This window comes from Homo sapiens, chromosome 21 (genome assembly GCF_000001405.40).
Source record: "Homo sapiens chromosome 21, GRCh38.p14 Primary Assembly".
Taxonomy (NCBI): domain Eukaryota; kingdom Metazoa; phylum Chordata; class Mammalia; order Primates; family Hominidae; genus Homo; species Homo sapiens.
Window position 1 is genome coordinate 26,450,428 of NC_000021.9, and position 22,521 is coordinate 26,472,948.

The 22,521-nt window shown below is 38.1% G+C and overlaps 1 protein-coding gene and 2 long non-coding RNA genes across 6 annotated transcripts in view; 2 read left to right on the plus strand and 1 right to left on the minus strand.

Annotated features, from left to right (window-relative positions):
- CYYR1-AS1 (CYYR1 antisense RNA 1) overlaps positions 1–22,521 on the plus strand; it is a 175,618-nt gene that overhangs the window by 56,793 nt on the left and 96,304 nt on the right. The window lies entirely within an intron of this gene.
- On the plus strand, positions 7,832–21,271 carry LOC107985474 (uncharacterized). Its single transcript, XR_001755129.2, has 2 exons — positions 7,832–7,905; positions 20,324–21,271. It is a non-coding gene; the product is annotated as an uncharacterized LOC107985474 (long non-coding RNA).
- Positions 15,789–22,521, minus strand: part of CYYR1 (cysteine and tyrosine rich 1) — a 107,071-nt gene continuing 100,338 nt past the window's right edge. For 2 of the 3 annotated variants that reach the window (NR_135472.2, NM_001320768.2), the window contains one exon: positions 15,789–18,207. Coding sequence is in view for 2 of the 3 variants with exons in the window: in NM_001320768.2 (NP_001307697.2) it covers positions 18,074–18,207 (134 nt within the window). In the remaining variant the exon portion in view is untranslated. The remainder of the gene's footprint in view (positions 18,208–22,521) is intronic. The other variant, NM_052954.5, reaches the window with a different exon arrangement.

Genomic DNA, 22,521 nt, shown 5'->3' on the forward strand with positions numbered 1-22,521 from the left:
TTCTGAAGCAATGATCATAAAATTAAATGTTTTTCCAGTAGAAATTGGTTTAACCCATTATAGAAAGTTGTCAGAGAGTCTGGATAAAGATGAGAGAGTGAATTATTTGTCTAGTTATTGACAAATAAGACGGTATCAATATGTCTTATGAGAATAGCATCAGCACTTTAACTGAACTGACTTTGGTATAAGTTTCTCCCATAGAAATTTGAATAAAGAGTGGGGATGGCGTTTAATGTATTGCATTATTTTTTATCACATTCAGCAACAAAGAAGAACCTTAGCCTGGCTTTGCCATGTTTCTTCTGATGGAGTTATTTTTGAATCCTTTTTCTCCATGTACTTTTTAGATGCCAGAGCCCAAGTGAAGCACAGTTTGGTCCTGAGTTTGATGTGAGATGGCATCCAAAAACTAGGCTGATAGCTTTCATTTAAGATATAGTGACTCCAGCCGGCATCTGGCCTTCTCCTCTGGTGGAGTGAGATCCAGCCTAGGCTAAATGACACACTAGACTTTTAACGTTTTTCTGTCCAAGGAAGCTTTTTCTGAGTAAATTGTAGCAAAAGACATATCAACACCTATAACTATTTCCTTTGGAAGCATCTACCCCTTGTGATTCTCTCTCCTTCTACTCCCTTCCATGACTCTCCTGAGTTCAAAGAATAAGGCCAATTTGCTTTTAGAGCTAGCCTTATGAGTGAACTGCCTGTAACATTTTGGGAGGAGGTGGTAAAGGAGTAAGAAACCAACATGTCCTGCATACTTACTATCTAGCACTACACAGAACTTTTCCTTTCATCATCATAACAAGAGTATGAGTGTATTAGTCAGAGTTCTTCAGAAAATATATCCAATAGGGTATATATGTGTGTGTGTGTGTGTGTGTGTGTGTGTGTGTATGTGTGTGTTTGTGTGTATAGAGAGAGAGACTCATTTTTAAAGAATTAGCTTATGTGAACTTGTGGGTTGGCAAGTCCCTATTCTGTAAGGCAGGCCAGTAGTCTGAAAACTCAGGCAGAGTTTCTATGTTGGAGTCTTGAAGCAGAATTGCTTCTTCCTCAGGAATCCTCATTCTTTCTTCTTTAGACCTTCAACTGATTGGATGAGGCCCACCAACACTATGGAACATAATCTTTATTTAAAGTCAACTGATTGTAAATGTTAATCACATCCACAAGTACCTTCACAGCAACATCAAGGCTAGTGTTTGACCAAACAGCTGGGCACCATAGTCTTGCCGAGTTGACACGTGGAGTCAGCCATCACAGATAGCTCTTGAAAGCACAATCAAAGCACCAGATCATACTAAGTGGCTTACAATTTGCAAGTGAGGAAATTGGGCTCAAAGAAATTATGTAACTTCAACAAGGTCTTGTAAGTGGTTGAGCTGAGATTCAAATCCAATTCTGACTAACTTCAAAGTCCACATGTGGCCACTGCACGCACACACACACACACACACACACACACACACACTAACATCTCATATCCTTTCTAGACAAATCCCTGGAAAAATTTATGTCGTAGAAGAGGAAAACTAACCAAGACCATCTTTCATTATCATTGGTATTGAAAGCGGTTATGCACCACAGGGTTGGGGGAAATTAAGTCAGAAAAAAGGCAGCTGTCACAGATAAACCAAAACCTCAAAATTTTGTTTGAGCTATATCTTTTAAAAAAAATTCCACTGTTTTTAGACAAATAAAAATTGTTTAGGGATCGGTAGTTGAGACTGAATCACATGGAGAGAGCTTAAGAGAAAAATTATTAACCATATCAGTTTGTTTAGCTACTCCAAATGTATACTTGGAAGCAGTAGTCCACATCCTTCTCAAGCATGTTAGAGCTTTATAAGCTCCATTTTCCTTCCCTTCTCCTTTTTTAGGGAAATTAGAATGTTTTGTTTTTCATTGGCTGTATCTTAGGAAATAGGATGGTTTAGTAATTTCAATATTGGGTTCAATTAATTTTCATTCTGTATGTATTGAAGATCTTGTGTATTTTTTTATGTCACTCCGCAATATAAAATGGGAAATTTTAGGCAGGATCAAAATAGCATTACTTCCTTAGAATATAATCCTTGAACCCCTAACTCATTCTATTTTGGCTCAGAGTTAGAAAGCAACATTGTTATTTCAGAAAAAGAAGCTTGATTATAAAGATAGCAGTTTTCTGAAAAATGTCCATGTTTATCTTGTTTTACTTTGACTCGTCTTACAGGAGTAGCTTTTAGAGAAAGCTAAAAAATGTCATGAACTATTGACTCAAGGAAAACACTAATCTTATAATGAAAGTATTGCTATTTTTAGATTTGAGGCTCTCATTGATTGTTATATGAGGGTAAGAGATTAAAATCTAGTAACTGACATGGACATTTGATTGATTTGTAAGTTTAATTTTGTAATTGACTAATTTGGGAATGAGCAATGATTTTACATTCTTAAATATAAAATGGATTCTCTATATTTTGATACCATATCCACATCCATCTCCTATTATGAATGCTTAAATAAGTATCAGACACAGAGCTAATTACTGGTCATGGGAAATGTAGAGATAATTGAATATTCATGGTGATAGACTAAACATTTCTAACTTTAGACGCATACAGACTCCTTAAATTCATTTCAAAGGGGAAGAACCACATGCAGGACAGTTGTCCAGGTGGCCTTGGACTGACCCAGTTCTCCCCACCTTCTCACTGGTAGTTCCTTTTTTTCTATTAAAATTTTTTTTTGACACTCAAACAGACTTGCATTAAAGTTGTTCTTAATAATAACTGTAAAATGTGCTGGGACTGTAAAATCCTGAGATAGGGAGGGACTGGCTGAAATGGCCTTGGTTCTATTCCAGTCCTCCACTAGAAGCAGCATGTCTTCCAAAGCTTAAGCCCAGTAATTCACCTGACCCTCGGGTATAAACTCAGGGCAGCCTGCTGTTCAGGGTCCCTCAGCTGCCGTGCAAGTGGAGAGTCACACGACACGGTCAAGACTCAATTTGTCCCAAGCAGCTTTCCTGAGACTCGGGGAACTGGCTTATAATGAATCCTAGGCTTTTGCTCTCCTTTGCTGCCTGTCTGTAAGTAATAAATCTGCTTCATGTGACTTGTTCTGTATGAGTGTGTTCCATCTCACTGGACTCAGAGAAAATGGTAAGCTGTGTACAGTGAGCCTGCTTCACAAAGAAAAATAATATTTACCATTTTTCCTTTAGCTTTGCTCAAAGTTACTTTCAAAAGATATTAAATATCCCAGAAATTGCAATAGCGTTAGGAGGTGGAAGGCCTCATGTGCTATGGGACAGTTCTGGAAGAAAACTAACAAAATATTCCATAAGAACAGTCGTAAAAACCACGGCCTTCTCAGCCCTCACTTTTATGTTATCTGACGCAACCCTTCTTGTCCCTATCCACTCTCTATAAAATGAATGAAATCAGCAGTGAATCTTTGTGTAGTATCATATGGGAGCATCCAGAAGCGTAGACAGTACCATACAAATAACCCAATTCTCCAGTCCAGGAAATGGCAAACAGGCTAGTAGAAAATTCCAAAGGGAAGACCCAAGGACTTTTTAAAATGAAAATAAATTTTTGAGACTTAATCTTGTGCTGGGAAGTTTTATTTCTGGGTGTAATTTTGGTGAATAGGCTAAGAAGGGCTGGTTAGAGTTTTGCCAGCATTCTCCAAGCACAAGGAGACATTTTGAGGTAAAAAAATATCTCCAGGGAACCATAATACCCTATTTTGAATTACTCCCAATTTTATTCCAGTACCACCTCTCTGGCAGCCATCCTCAGCTGCTACTCAACAACCCAGCTACACCTCTAACTCCTTCAAGATCCATGGCAGTGACCCGATTTCCAAGATTTTCTTTTGTGTTTATCATCTACACATATCTATTAGAGATGTGCTAGAGGAAGCACTCTGCTGGGATGTTAATGTATATTGTGATGGGACGGATAACCATGACCTAATGTGAAATGGTATCAGGCTGTGTATTTGCAAATTTGCCTTAATCCTATATCTTTGTTTCACACCTCTCTCTCTCATGTGCCACCATCAAGCATCCGTAACAGGAGCATAAAAATGCAGTTATAGAAATCAGAGCATTTTGGAATCTTAAGAGCAATATATTAATACAAGTATTATATATTGCAGCAAAGGAATTTATCTTACACAATTTTGTCATTTGAAACAAACACACATTATAGTAACTCTCTGCATATATATATGTACACACACATATATAATATAATATATATATAATATGTTTAAGGTTGGCTAGGCTAAGCTATGAGATTTGGTAGGTTAGGTGTATTAAATGCATTTTCTTGTTTTTAACTTTTATTTTACTTTAAGTTCTGGGATGCACATGCAGGTTTGTTACACAGGTATACGTGTGCCATGGTGGTCTGCTGCACCCATCAACCTGTCATCTAGGTTTTAAGCTCTGCATTTCAACTTAACAATATTTTCAACTTACAGTGGGTTTATCTGGATGTAGATAGTATCATAAGTTGATGAGCATCTATAAGTATGTACTATATATGTATACGTATATATCACTCTTTGCCTCAGTATCTTCCACTGACTTCCCAATTCATTCAGAATAAAATCCAAAATCCTTACCGTGGCTTACACGGCTTTACATGACCTGTGTTCTGATACTTACGTGACCTTATCTTCATCTTCTCTCCCTTTCACTCATGATGCTTCAGCCACATTGGCCTCCTTGCTCTTCCTCAAATAGGCTGAGTATTCCCCTACCTCAGAGGATTAGCTTTTGCTGTTTCCTCTTCCTGGTATACCTTTGCCCTAGATACTGGCAAGTCTCATTCCCTTACTTCTTTCAGTTCTCTGCTTAAATAGTACTATATCAAGAGTTCCTTGATCATCTTACCAAAAACCCAGCCTTTTTGTTTCCCAATCCTGTTACTCTCTTTCCTTTGAGCTTGCTTTTTTCTCCCAGAGCTTTTTCACAATTGATGCACTATTTATTTGTTTATGTTTTCTTCTTCTCCATTAGAACGAAACTCCAGGGAGTTTTCTTGTTCCCTGAAGAATCTCCAGCTTCTAGGACCACGGCTGACACATAGTAACGTGCTCAGTCAGTATTTGTTGAATGAATGAAGGAATATTAACAAAGTTAGGCCTAGATAGCACAACTCATCTCCTTGTTTACTGAATTGATGATCTATGTCTTTATAAAGGGCTTTTATGACTGTGAAATAGTTGAGCCTTGCTACATCCAACCAACTAACCAATAGACAAGTGAGTAAAGGATAGATGTATAACTAATAGTTTTAATAAACAAAACGAAATGAAAACAATCATTATTGGTCACATTAAAACAGGAAATGAAAGCCTCTCAGATTCTCAGACTTTGAAGATACATGTTCTTAAGGAAAAATCTTTAGATGACATTATCTATGAGCCTGACTTTAGCCAAAGCAAATGTGCAAATGAATTTTGCCTTTTAATGGTTTCGTCAGCTTGATGTCTATGGCAGATCCTATCTACTTCATCTATGTTGACTAGTGTGACCCATGGGCCTGCTGTATTCTCTGTGTACATTCAGCTAAGACTTTTCACTTCCCACAGTTTCAGTATTCTCACCTTTGAGATCACAGGGTCTTGCTTAATGGCCTCTAAGGTTGCATCTTGTACTAATGTGTCTTCACAGCACTTCCTACAGTTGAATTTGATGAATTAATTTTGTAGTGACTTTTTCATGTACAGTACATAGAGATTACTGCATTCTCTATGAGTTAAAGGATCAGGCCAATTTTCTTCATTGCTATACCCCCAGCATTTAGTGTCTGACACAATAAGTTCCCAATAAAAATGTGTTGATTTGAATAAATGCTGCATGAATGAAATAAATGAATGAAAGTGATTCTAAAAAGGGTGTTCACAAATATACCAAGCTTACTTTTTGATAACTTGCTGGAAGAAGTTATCATCTTCTTCCTATGAAATCTACTACCAATCTTATTTTATTTTTAAACTTGGGCTTTGAGATGTCATGATATCAATTGACTCATTTTAGTAATTTTCTGTTTCATTCTTCTTAAGTAGAAATCTTGCCTTTAATATTTTAATGTTAATGCTATCTTACAGGTACAGGGGTCTAACTCACTTAAATCCATGCTCAGCGCACGTAAAAAGCCAATGTCTTAATTTCCAAAGACATATTTCAAACGCAGTGACATGAACACAGGGCTGCCTGATTGGATTTTCCCCCTAATGAATGGAGACCATAAAAAGGACTTATGTCTAGTATCAATTATTCATACTCCAACAACTTGTGCATCCACAAGTTATAGCTCAACCTCTTTACCAACAATAAAATGCATCTTTTCTCTGAACAGAATGCAGGTTGCTGTCAGGTAAAAATATATCGTGACTTGAACAATGGATATTTGCATCCATCCCTGGGAGGCACGGACACAAGGCCATTACTTGGGTGAAACAGAACTGTCAAAACAGAACTGCGGCAAAAGAGGCCAAAGTATGACTTGAGATATTCTTGCTATTGAAACACCAGTCTCTAAAGTTTGGAGAAGAGAATGGAAGTAGAACATTTCTTAAACCCAACTGCTCTTCAGATCAGCACAGTCAACTAAGCGATTCATTGCTAATGGCATGTTAGCGTCATTAAATATTCAAAATATTTTAGAAGTAATGATACTTCTGTACTTATAGGTTATTTTTTCTTTGGGGTTGAGAGTGAGGTAACTGAGGAAGTGAAATCTTGAGAAAAATTTAGGGCAGGACAATTCTTTTTTAATGCAATTGTCTATTGTGGTGCACTAAATACCAGTAGCATCTCCCTTGACATTGCATCACCTGGGGTCCTACTACACTGTTTCAAAAACCCCTTGGCCTGGGGTGACAGCGATGGTACCATTAGTCATTGTGAATCGTACCCATTTAAAAAGCCAGCACAGAAAAGGGATAGAAGGGGAGGAGGAGAGCTGCTTCTTATAATCGCTTTGAATTTAAGAACTTTGGACTATATCCAACTTTGCCCTTATTAGAGTATTTGTGCAACTACATTCTACACTGTAGATTATAGCTCTATAAAACACATTTGATAATCGATTCAACATATACTTCTTATTCAGTGCCTACTCTGGGTGCCAGTATAGAGTCATGCATTGAGCAGACTTACCCCTGTTCTCAGGGAGTTTACAGTCTAGTAGAGGAAGGGCACAGAGCAGAAAGAAGTAAACACACATTTATTTAACTATATCTTGGGGTAAGTGCTATGAAGGCAGCGTATAGGGAGTGTTGATGCAGAAAAATGAATAAGGTGTTGTTAGAGACCTGCTCAGATCAGGTTGTCAGAGAAAGCTAATTTTATGGTTTGGTATTTAACATGTGACCTGGCCTACATAGTGGCTCTTGTCTGTAATCCTAGCACTATGGAAGGCCTGGGCAGGAGTATCGCTTGGGGCCTGGAGTTGGAGACCAGCCTGGGAACCACTGTGAGCTCCCATCTCTACAAAAAATAAATAAAAAATTAGCCAGCCATGGTGGTGAGCACATATTGTCCTAGCTACTCCAGAGGCTGAGGCAAAAGGATTGCTTGAGCCGAAGAGTTGGAAGCTGCAGTAAGTCATTATTGCATCACTGCACTCCAGCTTAGGCAACAGAGTGAGACTATGTCTCTAAAAAGAAAAATAAAAAAAAAGTAAGACCGGAGGAATGAAAAAGAGTCAGCTATGTTCCAGACAGGAATCAGAATGTGCAAAGGCCCTGAGTTTGGAAAGAGCATGTCAACAATAACCCGAACCAACAATTGTGTAGAGAACTGGCACAGCACAGTGGATAACAGCAAGGATGCTGTGGTCTCCCTGCTCAACTTCACGTGCCATGGTTAGATGTGTGACCTTGCAGAAGGTACTTAACCTCTCTAAAAATCAGTTTTTTCATCTGTTAAATGCAGATAACATTATAATTGTATGAGGTAACATTTGTGAAGAGCTTAAAATAGTGCTTGATACACATTAAGTGCTATGTGTTTGTTAAATTAAAAAATAATAAGTAGGAGAGTGGAAAGAAGTGTCAAGCAACTGGAGTCTGTATCCAAGGATTGCTACCAAAAAGCTGTCCCATCAGCAGTAACTTTGAACAAATCTCTCATCTCTTCTGTGTCTGTTTTCTTACTTGTAAGTGTTACACAAAAATATTCCTATGCTGTCTCTAAGAGTCTATGTGATTCTTTTTTTATTGGTTTGTTCATTCTTGACTGCTGCCATGTGCATTTTATTCTTTTTTTAATTGTAATTTTTTATTATACTTTAAGTTCTGGGATACATGTGCAGAACATGCAGGTTTATTACATAGGTATATATGTGCCATGGTGGTTTGCTGCACCCATCAACCCATCATCTACATTAGGTGTTTCTCCTAATGCTATCCCTTCCCTAACCCCCCACCCCCCGACAGGCCCCAGTATGTGATGTTCCCATCCCTGTGTCCATGTGTTCTCATTGTGCAACTCCCACTTATGAGTGAGAACATGCAGTGTTTGGTTTTCTGTTCCTGTGTTAGTTTGCTGAGAATGACGGTTTCCAGCTTCATCTATGTCCCTGCAAAGGACATGAACTCATCCTTTTTTATGGCTGCATAGTATTCCATGGTGTGCCACATTTTCTCTATCCAGTCTATCATTGATGGGCACTTGGGTTGGTTCCAAGTCTTTGCTATTGTGAATAGTGCTGCAATAAACATATGCGTGCATGTGTCTTTATAGTAGAATGATTTATAATCCTTTGGGCTTATACCCAGTAATGGGCTTGCTGGGTCAAATGGTATTTCTGGTTGTACATCCTTGAGGAATCGCCACACTGTCTTCCACAATAGTTGAACTAATTTATACTCCCACCAGTAGGAGCATCTGTTGTTTCCTGACTTTTTAATGATCGCCATTCTAACTGGCGTGAGATGGTATCTCATTGTGGTTTTTATTTGCATTTCTTCAATGACCAGTGATGATGAGCTTTTTTTCGTATGTTTGTTGGCCACATAAATGTCGCTTTTTTTATTTTTTTAAAAAAGACAGAGTCTTTCTCTGTCACTCAGGCTGGGTGCAATCATAACTCACTACAGCCTCCAACTCCTGAGCTTAAATAATCCTCCTGCCTCAGTCTCCAGAGTAGCTAGGGCTACAGGTTCACACCACCATGCCTGACTAATTAAAAACTTCTTGTGTGTGTGGAGATGGGATCCCACTGTGTTGCCCAGACTAGTCTTGAACTCATGGCCTCAAGCAACCCTCTTGCCTCAGCTTCCCAAAGTGTTGGGATTACAGGTGTGAGCTACTGCACCTAGCCATTTTGTTCTTAAGAAGACAGTGGCCTTGCAGAAGTCTTCATCATCTGAAAGCTGGTTAGTGGTAGAGTTGAGACTAGAACCCAGGTCTCCTGCTTGTTTTCTCAAATAAATACATAATGCAAACACAGAACAGTTGAGAAGAGATGCTGGTCTATTTTAATATATTAGTTGACTCGGATATTTTTAAAAGAATGAAAGTGTCTCAGTCAGGGCCTTGGTAAGAAGTCGATGGCTACCCATATGGAGTAATTTGAAGAGAGTTCATGAAATGCGTGGATAGAGTGAAGGGAAACTACAGGCGGTAGTGCAGTACTCCATGACTAGCAGCAATAGGGAAGCTTTGGCAGTCCTAGGTCTAAAAGGGGAAGGAGAGAAGCTAGAAATATAGCTGTTTGGAGAAGGCATCCCATGGGAATTGGACTTTTGTTTGAGAGGCACCATCCAGATAAATACTTCAAGTAAGTATTCCATCTTCACTCTCCTTTTTCTTTCTGCTTTCCTGAATGGCCTCTCCATTGGCCAAATTCAACCAGAAGCACAACTGTCAAGGGAAGTCCTTGGTGCAGTCCAAGCAGTGTAGACTCCTGGGCAGAAATAGAGGGGAGGGTGTGGAGAGTGGATTTGTAAAGGGAAGGGGAATGTGTACACAGTACAAAAAAGGTTTAATGTCAATGGTCATCTTACCTTTTATTTCTATTAGACATTTTGTTCATCCAACACTTTTAGATATCTTATGTCATGCCAGATATTTGCTCAAAAAATCATTATATAATGAAGTGACGTGTGGTCCTCATTTTTAATTCTGCTGACATTGTAAAGAACTTGTGCCAATATCATGGTCAATTCACATAAAAATTAAATAATGAATTTATCTAAATTGTTCAATATAATTATTGTATTAATTCATTTCAATTTGGCAAAACAATAGTTTCAGGTAAGTACTATTTTAAGGCTACTTATGCTGTACTAGGAGAAAAGGATTAGTCATTGAAATCATTGTATTCTGCATGTAATACAGAAGGCAGGAGCCCAGGTTGAGCTTAACTGCTCACTCTCAGCATTTAAAGGACTGAGCTCGGGGAGCGGCTCTACCAAGATTTTCTTTGCATGAGAGACTAAGAAGTCTCCTAGGCAAGGTTCATCCTAGGGGAAGAAAGAGTTAGAATTATGTTCCCATAAAAATGTCCCGGGTTTCTGAGGAGAATATAATTGTTTTAATATAATAAAAGCACAATACCTATCACTAGAATTTGCCTAAAGATTATGAATTGAAACATTTACAGTATCCAAAACTGTAAAATGGGGATAATAATAATACCTATGCCATGGGTTTGAGAGGATTAAATGTAAGTTAAATGTAAATTGCTTAGAACAGTGCTTGGTGCACACATACACACACACACTTACTGTTATTATTAATTAAGGTAACACATTTCTAGGGATGATTCCATTGAGAATCAATGTTTTTACAGTGGTATTACTGCTTCTCAGAACGTGGATAAATGCATTATTTCTCTCCATACGTATTAAATAATAATAGCACAAAAGCTGGTTGCAATTTTATAACCCATTTTCAGCCAATTTTAGTGTTTTTGTTTCTTTTCAGAATATTCAGTAGTTTTTCAACATACCCTGGAGAAATGGTAACGTGAAAACTATGGCATCTTATTTTAGTAAAATACCTTAGTGTATCCTTTGGACATTGCTTCTGAAGTCTAAATTACATTAGAATCTATTCTATGGATATACAATTCATGAAGCAATTATTTTCTGATATTCAGTTGGTATTCTTTTTATGTAAGAAACGAGAAGCTTAATTTTAAGAATTATAAAAGTGCCTCTCCCAAACTGACATGTTATCCTGTTCCCACTAAGTGAGTCATTCAAGATGAGCACATTCCTCTTATGAAGGGGCACGTGTTAATACTGCACTTAAAGGCACGATTTAACTCTATCTGGATTGACATGTACATCAATTAAAAACTATGAAGCTACAGCCTTTGTTCAGTTGTCTGACTCATACTTTAGATTATGGACTACACTTAGAATATGCTACTCACTACAAACTCACTTCCTCTAATTCTTAAAGTTCTTTTAATATTCCTTCATGTCAAATATTAGTTGCTTACTTAATATATTCAATCATTTTTACCATGTCCCAAATATCATGTAGGTACTCCCTGAGGACTACAAATATCCAAGGGACAGTCTTGGCTCTCAAAGAGCTTAGAATCTAATGGAGGAGACAGACATTTACACAAATCTATTACAAGGCTACAAGAGGGGTATTGGATTAGGTACCAAAATGGCTGGAGGTGGGAAATGATTAATTCTGATTGGAAAATTTGCCAGGGTCCTCTTCTCCGGGTATCAGCTCTTTACCTAGATCTGGAAAGATGAGGAGGGTTTCTGCAGCTTAAGTGAGGGTTTATCTATCCTCAGGCAAGGAGGTAAGGGAATTAGCACCGTGTGTTCAGGTGGTGGCAAGGGATGAGGAGGGTGGTCTCCAAATGCATTTTCACAGGTAAAGCAGGAGTTGAACTCTGAATGCTTTATCCCTTTGGATGGCTTTCAAGTTCCTTTCTAGTCAATAGGGAAGATGATATGCAAAATGTGTGATAATCAAGACATTAACTGATAAGGTACAAAAATGGGGAATCTGATCGCTTGGATCTCTTCGGATTTTAGTCAGAGAAAATTATTCATCTTGCAGACCATGGAAACAATGCAAGATATCTTATTCATTTATTAGCCATGACGAAACGAGATTCAGAAAATGATTCTCTTGCTTCTTCCTCACATTTAGAAATGGCAGGTATGGTTCAGGCATGGTGGCTTACACCTGTAATTTCAGCACTTTGGGAGGCCAAGGCAAGAGGATTGCTTGAGGCCAGGAGTTCGAGATCAGCCTGAGCAACATAGCAAGACCCCATCTTTACAAAAAAATAAACAAATTAGCCAGGTTTCATGGCACGCACCTGTATTCCCAGCTACTGGGGAGACTGAGGTGGGAGGATCATTTGAGCCCAGGAGTTGAGGCTGCAGTGAGTCATGATCATTTCCCTGCACTCTAGCCTAGGTGGCAGAATGAAACCCTGTCTCTGAAGAAAGAACAAACAACAATTAAAAAAGAAATGACAGGTGATACACACTCAAAAGCTATTCATGACTGGGTTAGAAAAAGGAGAACAGAGACTGGGCACGGTGACTCACGTCTGTAATCCCAGCCTCTGGGAGGCCGAAGCAGTTACATCACCTGAGGGTCAGGAGTTTGAGACCAGTCTGGCCAAGATGGTGAAACCCCATCTCTACTAAAAATACAAAAATTAGCCGGGTGTGGTGGCTCGCGCCTGTAATCTCAGCTACTCGGGAGCCTGGGGCAGGAGAATTGCTTGAACCCCAGAGGTGGAGGTTGCAGTGAGCTGAGATTGTGGCATTGCACTCCAGCCTGGCCAACAAGAGCAAAACTCCATAAAAAAAAAAAAAAAAAGTGAGAGCAGAGCAGAAATAGAAATCAAAGTCTAAATTTTTTTAAAAAACAATTTCTCCTTCATGCTTCCAGAGAAGGCAAATATTCCTAACACATGTTCCCCCAGTTCCAACCATTTCCTTGGATTGGATGTTTATTTTTAGGGAAGGCATTCAGGATTAGCTTAGGTAGCAACTTGATCCACTGAACACTCATCTGGGAACTTGTCTTGGAATTATTTTCTTGATGAAGATTAAATATCTAGGAACAGAGTTGAAACAAAGGTTAGAACTGGGACTATTTTAAGACTCGTCCATAAAGGTATGTGGTGTATGTGCTGTACTTCATTCCCTGCCTAATACGATGGGCTTTAGTGCAGCTCATAAATGAAGTTCATGAGAAACACAAGCCTTGTGTGTATCTTTTCAGTATTTCTTAGGAATGTAGCACTTATCTAGTTAATGTGGTCCTTGAATGTTGCCAGCTCCATTCTGCTCCTGTTGGTTCAATAAAAGCAATTTGATCACAGCCAAGCATGGCTTGGGATTCTTTCAGCTGTTGAGTTGGTACATTCTTATTAGAGGGAAGGTATTATCTTCTACATTGCCTAAACTCTAAATAATCAACTTAAGGAGAGTAAGATAAAATATCTTTGCTATGGTACACCAACTACTAAGATGGCCCCCAAAGCTCTCTGCCTCTTGGTTTCTGTGTCCTTGTGTAATTCCCTCCTCTTTTATGTGAGATGAACTTAGTGTCCTGATTCTAAAGAACAGGTTATGGCAAATGTGATGGGATATCACTTCCAATATTGGATTTCGTAAGTCTGTGACTTCTGTCTTCCTAGCACTCTCTTCCACTCCATGGCTCTTCTTGCTTGCTCTGGGGGAGCAAGCTGACACATTTAAAGTTGTCCTACAGAGAGGCCCATATGCCAAGGAATTGAGGGTGGTTTCTGGCCAATAGCTAGTGAGAAAATGAAGCTGGCACAAAAGCCTCGGAGGGACTGAATCTCGTCAATGACCATGCATGGGAGTGAGCTTGGAATCAGATACTTTCTCAGTTGTACATTGAGATGACAGCAGCCTGTGACAGTCCCTGAGCCAGAAGACCCAGCTAAGCCACCCTCAGATTCCTGATCCATAGAAACTGAGATAATACATGTTTCAAGCCACTAAGTTTTGAGTTAAATTTGTTACACAGCAATGGATAACAAATGCACCTGTTTATAGAAGTGGTGAGGCTTCGGAGTGGGGCATAAAGGAAAGAGAATATGTATATTCAGTTGCAACTATCAGAGTCACCAACCCAGGTAGGATCTTTGTAACAGATGTTCTACATATATTGTTTATAATCATTGCAACCACGTGGCAAGGATGGTGTTATTCATATATTTTGAATGAAACTGAGGTTATGGAAATGTTGTTATTTGGCTCCGTACATGTAGTTAGAAGATGACAGAGATGAGAGGGGAAACAAAGTCTCCCTTACTCTGAAGCCTTGGTTCTGTCCCCTGCATTAGAGGGATGTTAGAGGCCTGAGTGGGGTTAAGTAGGCTGGAAATCAGAATCACCTGTGGGTTGCTTTATAGTTAATCATGTCACTTTCCTTTTCTGGAGGTCCTGACAATGTTTATACTGAACCACACTACACAGTACAGTTGCACCAAAGAGTTTTGCTCTTGCACAAGTTCAGCCATATCCCATGCAGCTTGGCCCCAAATCAGAGAATAAAAACTATGCATTTCAGATAGGTTTTGATTGAGAATATGGTAGTTCTTGGATGCCTCTGTGGTGATTAACAAGGTGACCATGTGACTTTGGCATTCTGGTGTTAGGTTGTTTTAATTAAGTGAAAAATTAAAACAATAGTACCCAGAGCTCCACTATTTGATGAGCTTAATATACAATCTTATGTGTCCCAGTCCCTACTTTACCTACAACCAAAAGTTGGCAAAATGAGTTTGGTTAAACAAGGACAAGTTGGAAGTAGAGTGGATGTATGATGAGTGCTGCCGTCATTTGGTGGTGGGAACAAGATTATGAAAAAACAGAAGGGTAGCCTACAGCCCTGCACCTTAGGAAGATTAGGTAGCCCCACATGCTCCTGTAGTGGCTTCTGAAGCTGGGTAGGCAGCTGCAGAATTGATTAGACTCTGAGAACAGGCTGTGGCTCTGTTTCACCAGCTCTAACATCAGGTCTAAGGTCTCTCTCCTATCATCAGCCCTTCAGCTCTTGCAACAGCTTTCCTGCCCATGGCTCTGGAGAGGGCCAGATTAGCCTCTCGCTGCTCATGGTTCTCATGCAAGTTATTGTCTTGCTTCCATGGGAATGGACTCTCCACACAAATAAGTGAAAGACATCACAATTAGCTGACAAAGTCCATAGTTTCTCCTGGAGGAGATTGGAGTGGTCTCTTTTTCAATGACTTCCTGCTATCTCACTGCGTTTTTGCATAGATTTCTCTAGAGTGGCACTACCCAATAACGTAGGTAGCCCCTAGCCACATGAGGCTATGCAGCATTTGCAATGGGGTTAATGAGACAGATGAAGTAAATTTTTCATCTAATTTCATTTCAATTAATTTAAACTTAAATGACCATATGTAGCTGATGATTGCTGTGTTGGATAATATAGTTCTAGAGGTTGTTCTCATTATATTGTTGTTTTGTTAATTTATTTTGGGCTAATATTTATTGGACGTTTTCTATGTGCCAGGCACTATACTTAGAGTTTTGTATATATTCATCCAGTTTTTGCAGAATGCGATGAGACTGATAATATTATTTACATTTTCCAGAGCAGAAAGTTGAATCTCAGAGATGAAGTAGCCTGCTTCAAATCACACAGGCAGGAGACAGGATTCAAAATAAAGTCTGTCTGGCTCCAGCCCTGTGTTTCCTGTACAGAAGAATGAGGCAAAGTCAGCAGAAATAGAGGGTGAAAAAAATGGACACAAGACAATGAAAATATAATCTGTGTTATAATAGGTTCTTTCACTTTATTGCTTATTGTAAACACTTTGGCCATAGCAAATGTTAGTTTTTAAATAACCGTAATTCAAAACTTTCACATCCTATACTATTTTTCCCCAAGAAGCATCATCTATGAAAACAATCAGTGAACTCCAACAGTCTATACTGGTAATGTGCACATTGATGCTATTATGACACTTAATACAAATAGTAAAAATACTCATCTATTGTAGGCTTATGGGTTTGTAAAATGCCTTAAGGGAGGCCATAAACAACTCAAAGAAGAGATGGTGTGGACTGAACTGGCTTCTATTTGGGGAAAATTTGCAGAATATAGGAGGTACGCAATAAATGTTTATTGATGGTGAAGATGAGAAAACCCTATTTCTGCTGATCTTTCCTTTCCGTTTTCCTTAAAGAATATAAGGTATATTTGTATTCAGCATTCTCAGAATCATCACAGAAACCCTGGCACTTTGAGAGTCTTAGCCACAGTGTAATTGGGTCTGACCACACGCAGAAGAAAAATAAATTAAAGCATATGTACTATTAAAATTGCACTGAAAACTTTATGTAAGTCAGGGAGCCCCTCACCAGAACAGGCTGAAACTCTTGAATGCTTTGCATCCTCATATATAAGAAAATCATCAGTGCTTAAAGATCAAGGAACTCATTCAAAACAAATTCAGCCTTTGGACCTTACTGGCAGGTAGGTTATATTTCAGTCAGATCAATATCTTTCTAATATAGGTATTTGAAAGTAATATATGCTACTTATAATAATGATATAGTAAGCTTCTTATCTGCAAGTACAGGTACTATAACTTACACCTTAAAATGCTTTGTTTGATTGTTTCATTCAGCAAAATTCTTGGCACTGTTTTGGGATTTCACTGAATTTTGATGATGATATTGGATTAAGCATTTTAGATTTAATTGTAAAATGACACAAAAATCTAATCATCTATTTCCAATGTTCAATATACAATTTTTATAAATACATGAAACAATTCATATAAAAATATAAATGTTAAGGTCACTCACAGCAAAATATGGCACATTAGAATTATTTATTAAATGCTTTATACATATAAAGGTAGGCACTTCATAAAATTTGCATTTTGGTAAAAGGCAACAATTTGATGTCAGTATCTTAATTGTGTCATTAACTTTTTTAAGAGAACAGATTATCAAAATTTTACGAAGAAGAAAAAAATAATAGTTTTAAGGAAATCTACAGAAGGGAATCTGAACTTCATTTCCCACTTTATTTTTGCGAGTCTGTTGTGTATCTTCATGGTCAAGTTCTGAGATTTTTGCTCCCTGACCTAAAATCCTGTGGGAATAATTGATTTCTCATCTTTTACTTGGAAGTGAAGTGTCTGCTACCTGTGGAACTTGATACAATTTTTTTTTTCTCCCCACAGTTAGAATAACCTTTATTCTGATCCACTATAAAGCCAGATGATTTTTAGGTGGCAGTAGCTGGCATTGAAGAGTTCTTGGCTTCAAGCGGCTGTTGAGTCTTTTTGGTCTTGTTTTAACTCCCTAATTAAATAAATAAGATCCAACTCTTTCTGTTGTATTCACTCCTGGACATATAGAAATTCACTTCACACCCACCTAAAATACGAGCAGAACTTCTGAGGCCCAATGAACCCATCTACTATTTGATTTTGTTATCCCTTCTGGAGCGTGTCTCTACCAAGAGCTTCACAAAGCAATCTAGTCATTGCTCTTTCTTGTACTAAAACCAGAGTACCCGTCCTGTAACTTCCATCAGGACCTCAAACAGTGCTAGGCACATAGTAAACTCTTAGGCACTCAAAATACATTTATTGATGAATGAAAGAATGAACAATTCTAGTTCTGACTTTTAAAGCTATATAGAATAAAGTTGCTTCCTTGTGTGGGCCAAATCATTCTCCCATCCTACTTAGATCTTCTTTTTTTCCAGGATCAATACTGAAACTTTCTTCACCTAGCCCTTAAACAACATGATTATCAGATATTTTGTCAATTACATTACTCTTCCCTGAATGTGCTTAGGTGGATCAGCAGATCTCTTAAAATGTGGTTCCATAGAACCAAACATTAATACTCCAGATGGGGTCAGCTTTGAGCAGAGTAGAAATCCTATATCTCCTAGCAGGGATATTCCACCTGACACATTATCTGACCCCAAAAAGTATTCCTTGGAGCAATTCTTTCCTGCCTGTTTCTGAGTAGAGGCATTTTATTCCAGGCAAGATCGCCCATTGGCACATGTTCTGTTCTGGGAGATAGATTATTTCCTTGCGTTTCCAGGATAAGGAGGGGGTGGAGAACGCTGTGCTGGACCCTGTGGGGTGGGGGAGTATGGAGGAGGCAAGTCTGCACAGTATTCCATCTCGTGGTCGTGACCGTAGGGTGGTGGTCCTGCTGAAAAAGAAGGGGAAGAGAACATCAAGGAGTTAGCAAATATTTGCATTTCTACTGTGTTGAAGCCACTGGGCTAGATACTTTGGGAGGGGACATAAATTGTGGCTGCAAAAATCTTAGTTTTATTAGGTCAGGACCACATATGTATGAAAGGGTAAGTGCTCTAAAATGTGGTATCATGGGTCAAAGTGTTAAGAACTGGTTGTTTAGAGAAAGTTTCTTGAAAATATGATGCTGAAGTGGCAGAAAGAGAAGGTGAGGGACAATTCAGGTTGATCAAAAGCACTGAAGCGGGAGAGCCCTTCATCTCAAGCAAAAGTACATGAAAGGGAGAATGGGAAAAGACAATGAGGAGTGCGGTTATATCACCATGGTGGGCTCTGAATGCAATGTAGAATGTATAACATGTAGCTATCAGAGATTCTTTGAACATGGTAGTGAATATGCTTTGAGAAAACCACTCTCAGCAGTCAACAGAGGCAGAGGTAGATAAAAGAAAAGCTGCAACAATGTAATGGCATATGTGAGGGATGATAAGGGACTCATGACAGTGAGGGAAAAACATTCTAACAGTCCTTGAGCAACCAAGTCTTTAGGTGATGACTGGGTGTGTGGAGAAAGAGAGGAGAAAGTGAAAGAAGGGGTTGAGGTATTAGGTACCAAGTACAGGACTCCTATAATTGGAGGGGGGTGGAACCATTACAGAAATATGAAGAAGACAAAAAAGGAGGACAAGTAGGTTAGGAAATGAAGATGAAACATTTAATTTTCTGAATCTTATATGAAAAATTTTCTTTATTTTGTTACTGTACCATATGTCAGTGTTTTAAGAAAGTTTTTAAATTTTAAATAATTTTATTTTTTTGAATTGACAAATAATAATTGTACATATTCATGGGGTACAGAGTGATGTTTTGATATGCATAATGTATAATAATCAAATCAGGGCAACTGGCATACCCATCATCTCAAACATTTGTCATTTCTTTATGCTGGGAACATTTAGTATCCTCCTTCTACCCATTTGAAACTATATATTATTGTTGACTATAGTCATCCAGTGGTATAGAACACTGGAACTTATTCCTCCTATCTAGCTGTAATTTTATATCCTTTAATAAATTTCTCCCTATCCATCCTTTTTCCTACCCTTCTCAGCCTCTAGTATCCTCTGTTCTACCTTTTAATATACTTTATGATGACTATACATAAAAGTCTATTTTGTAGTGGTTTCAGTTCCTTTCTCTAGTGTTGAAAAAGAAGTACTCCTTGAGCTGAAATTTATCCACGTTTCCAAGAACTGAATCATTTTGCAACATCTGAGCAACTCCCTCAGCAACCAGTCTGATGAACTGCCAGTAGCTGAATCATCATCAGGATCCTGATGCTGCTTGGAAACTGACATGCCTTAATTGCCTACTGTGAATGTAACCCAAATCACAAGACCAGTGTCATAATAATGCAAATAAGTGGGCATGCTCTTAATACTAGAATGGCAGAAAGGAACACACAACATTTCAACAAACTTTTCTAAATGTCTTCTATTAGGTTGATGCAAAAGTAATTGCAGTTTTTGCCATTAAAGTAATTGCAAAAACTGCAATTGCTTTTGCAAACGAACCTTAATTTGTACTCTTTCTAATAAGAATTTGACAGTGTTCTGATAAACAGACATAGACATACATAGGGCTTCCACTGATATGCAGAAAAAAACTATGTTTTTGATATGGTTTGGCTCTGTGTCCCCACCCAAATGTCATGCCATTTTGTAATTCCCAATGTTGGGGGAGGGACTTGGTGGGAGGTGATTGGATCATGGGGGTGGATTTCCCCCTTGCTGTTCTCATGAAGTTTTTACAAGATCTGGTTGTTTCAAAGTGTGTAGCACTTCCCTCTTCTTTCTGTCTTGTGCTGGCCACGTGAAGATGTGCTTGCTTCCCCTTCCCCTTCCGCCATGATTGTAAATTTCCTGAGGACTCGCCAGCCATGCTTCCTGTACATCCAGTGGTACTGTGAGTCAGTTAAACCTCTTTTCTCCATAAATTACCCAGACTCGGGTATGTCTTTATAGCAGTGTGAGAATGGACTAATACAATTTTCTTCTGGATCTTTTTAGTTTGCCTATCTTTACCAAGAGCTTGATGATTTGAACCACTGACTGATTGCCCTGTACTTGGAGGATGTGAGGAAGCAGAATTGAGCCAATAAAGAGAAGAGGAAGAAGGAGCCACAGAACTGAGTGGGATGTCCCCTGAGCACTCCTTGGTGGAGCAAAAGTCTTGCAAGTCTCTAGTGCGCTGGGCAGGCTGAGGGCGTTCAGCCGAGAACACAGCTCTGTAAATACATCAGCGAGGATGCATATATACAGTTTCCCCAGTGCTCCCTCAGACCCTTGGAGGCTGGGCTACTCCAAGCTCTGTTTCCTGCAAAAAAATGGAGTAAGTCCTGTGGAGTCTAAATACACATTCCCTCTGCATTATACCCACGCCTCGACTTCATTATATCTAGGAGCACTGAGACAAAGAGATTTATAACAAACTTCATCCAAGCCAAGAATGAAACACGGCAGCCTCCATGCAGCAGGAAACCCATTGATCTGTTTCTTATAAGCATGTGGTTCTATGCTGTTTTTCTGCCAAAGCTTTTCCCTGCCTCCCACTTGAGGAGCATACACCAGCTGATTCTGCAGATTGACTCTACATCATTCTCTGTCATGAAGCCATGGCATGTGTTTATGCGTCTGTAACAAAGCGTTTATATTCTGCCATCTGCATAAAAACTGCTGAAGGACATTTCAGCAAGAATCCCTATGGTTTATGCAGCTGCATGTTGAACATGAAAATCTAAGATATGACAGTGGTCTTTCATTCATACAACCTTTGAATTTTGGTAAAGTTCTGATGTAATGTTAAAGAGTGGTATTTTGAGGACTACGCATCAAGATATAAACATGGCACATCTTTTATAATATCAGCCACTGGAAGACATTTGAAATAATATTTGTATAATTGTGGGCTGTATTATCTTTCTTTCTTGCACATAATAAAGTTTCACTGGAAGTAAACTTTTCAAGTATCAATTTTAGAATTCCTGATTCATCCTAAGCGGTTTTGTTCTTTTTTTACAGGTGAAATCATACTTAAAAGTTGTATGTATGCAGCTGGAGATACGTGCCTTTGAAATCCTTTCATAACCAATATTCTAATCTCCTATTTAAGTAGGGTAAATAGGCCATTTATCCTCAACATCTGATACAGCTGTCTACAATATTAAAACATTTAGCAATACCATGAAATTCGGAGAAGAAATGTAATGTTTTCTACCCACTCAGGCCAATATTTCTAAAGCTAATGTGGTGGGAAGATGCGTGGTGTTACCCAAACTATTCACAATTATTTCAGAAAATTTGGAAACAGAAGAAAATCATCCATAATTTTGTCACCCCAATTTAACAAATCATATCTTTAAATACTGTCTCTTAGTCATTTGTGCGTAGTTGCATCCTTGCAGTCACAGAGTATGGCCTATACTTTTTCACTTTGTATTACAATGCAAGTCTTTTCATTCTGCTGCATATTCTTCATAAGCTTTATTAATGGCTGCCTTAGCAGTTATTCCATCCACTATTCACTATTTTGAGGTTAATTTTTTATTATAATTAATGTAATGATGAATATCTTCTTACACATAGACTTTTTAATTATTTTTTTTTTAGAATAAAATTCCAGGAATTAATTAGCTGGCTTAAGTAACACATACATTTTATTGCTTAGAATACATTATAAAACTACTTTCAAAAATAATTATTTCATCTTGTAAGGGTATACAAGTACATTATCATTTAATATTTTAGTAAATTAAGTAAAAATTTAGGTCTTTGTTTTACTTGATCATTTCTTTTGATAACAGCTAGGTTTGACACTGTTTTACATCTTGTCCACTGTTTGTTATTCATATTGAGTGAATTTTTTGTTGTTGCTCTGGACTGGTGATAGTTTCTAAATGAGGATCTTAATTTCAATGAAGATATAAGTAAGATATAAAAAAGTGCACAAAATTATATATCTTTTAATAAAAACTCTTTGTCAAAATGGTTTATTATATAATTTTTACCTTACTGACATTCTGAAGTTTAAAACCATAACAAAATATATAGTTATTCATTTAAAAAATCCCTTCTGTGTTATTTCCAAGTTTAAAAATTAGTCTTCTTTTTCAGATAGTTGATACATAACTATCCTGTTTCTGAGTTTACCCATTTAAATTTATGTATTTAATGCTTCGCTACATGTGTTATTTTATTTGGTATATTTT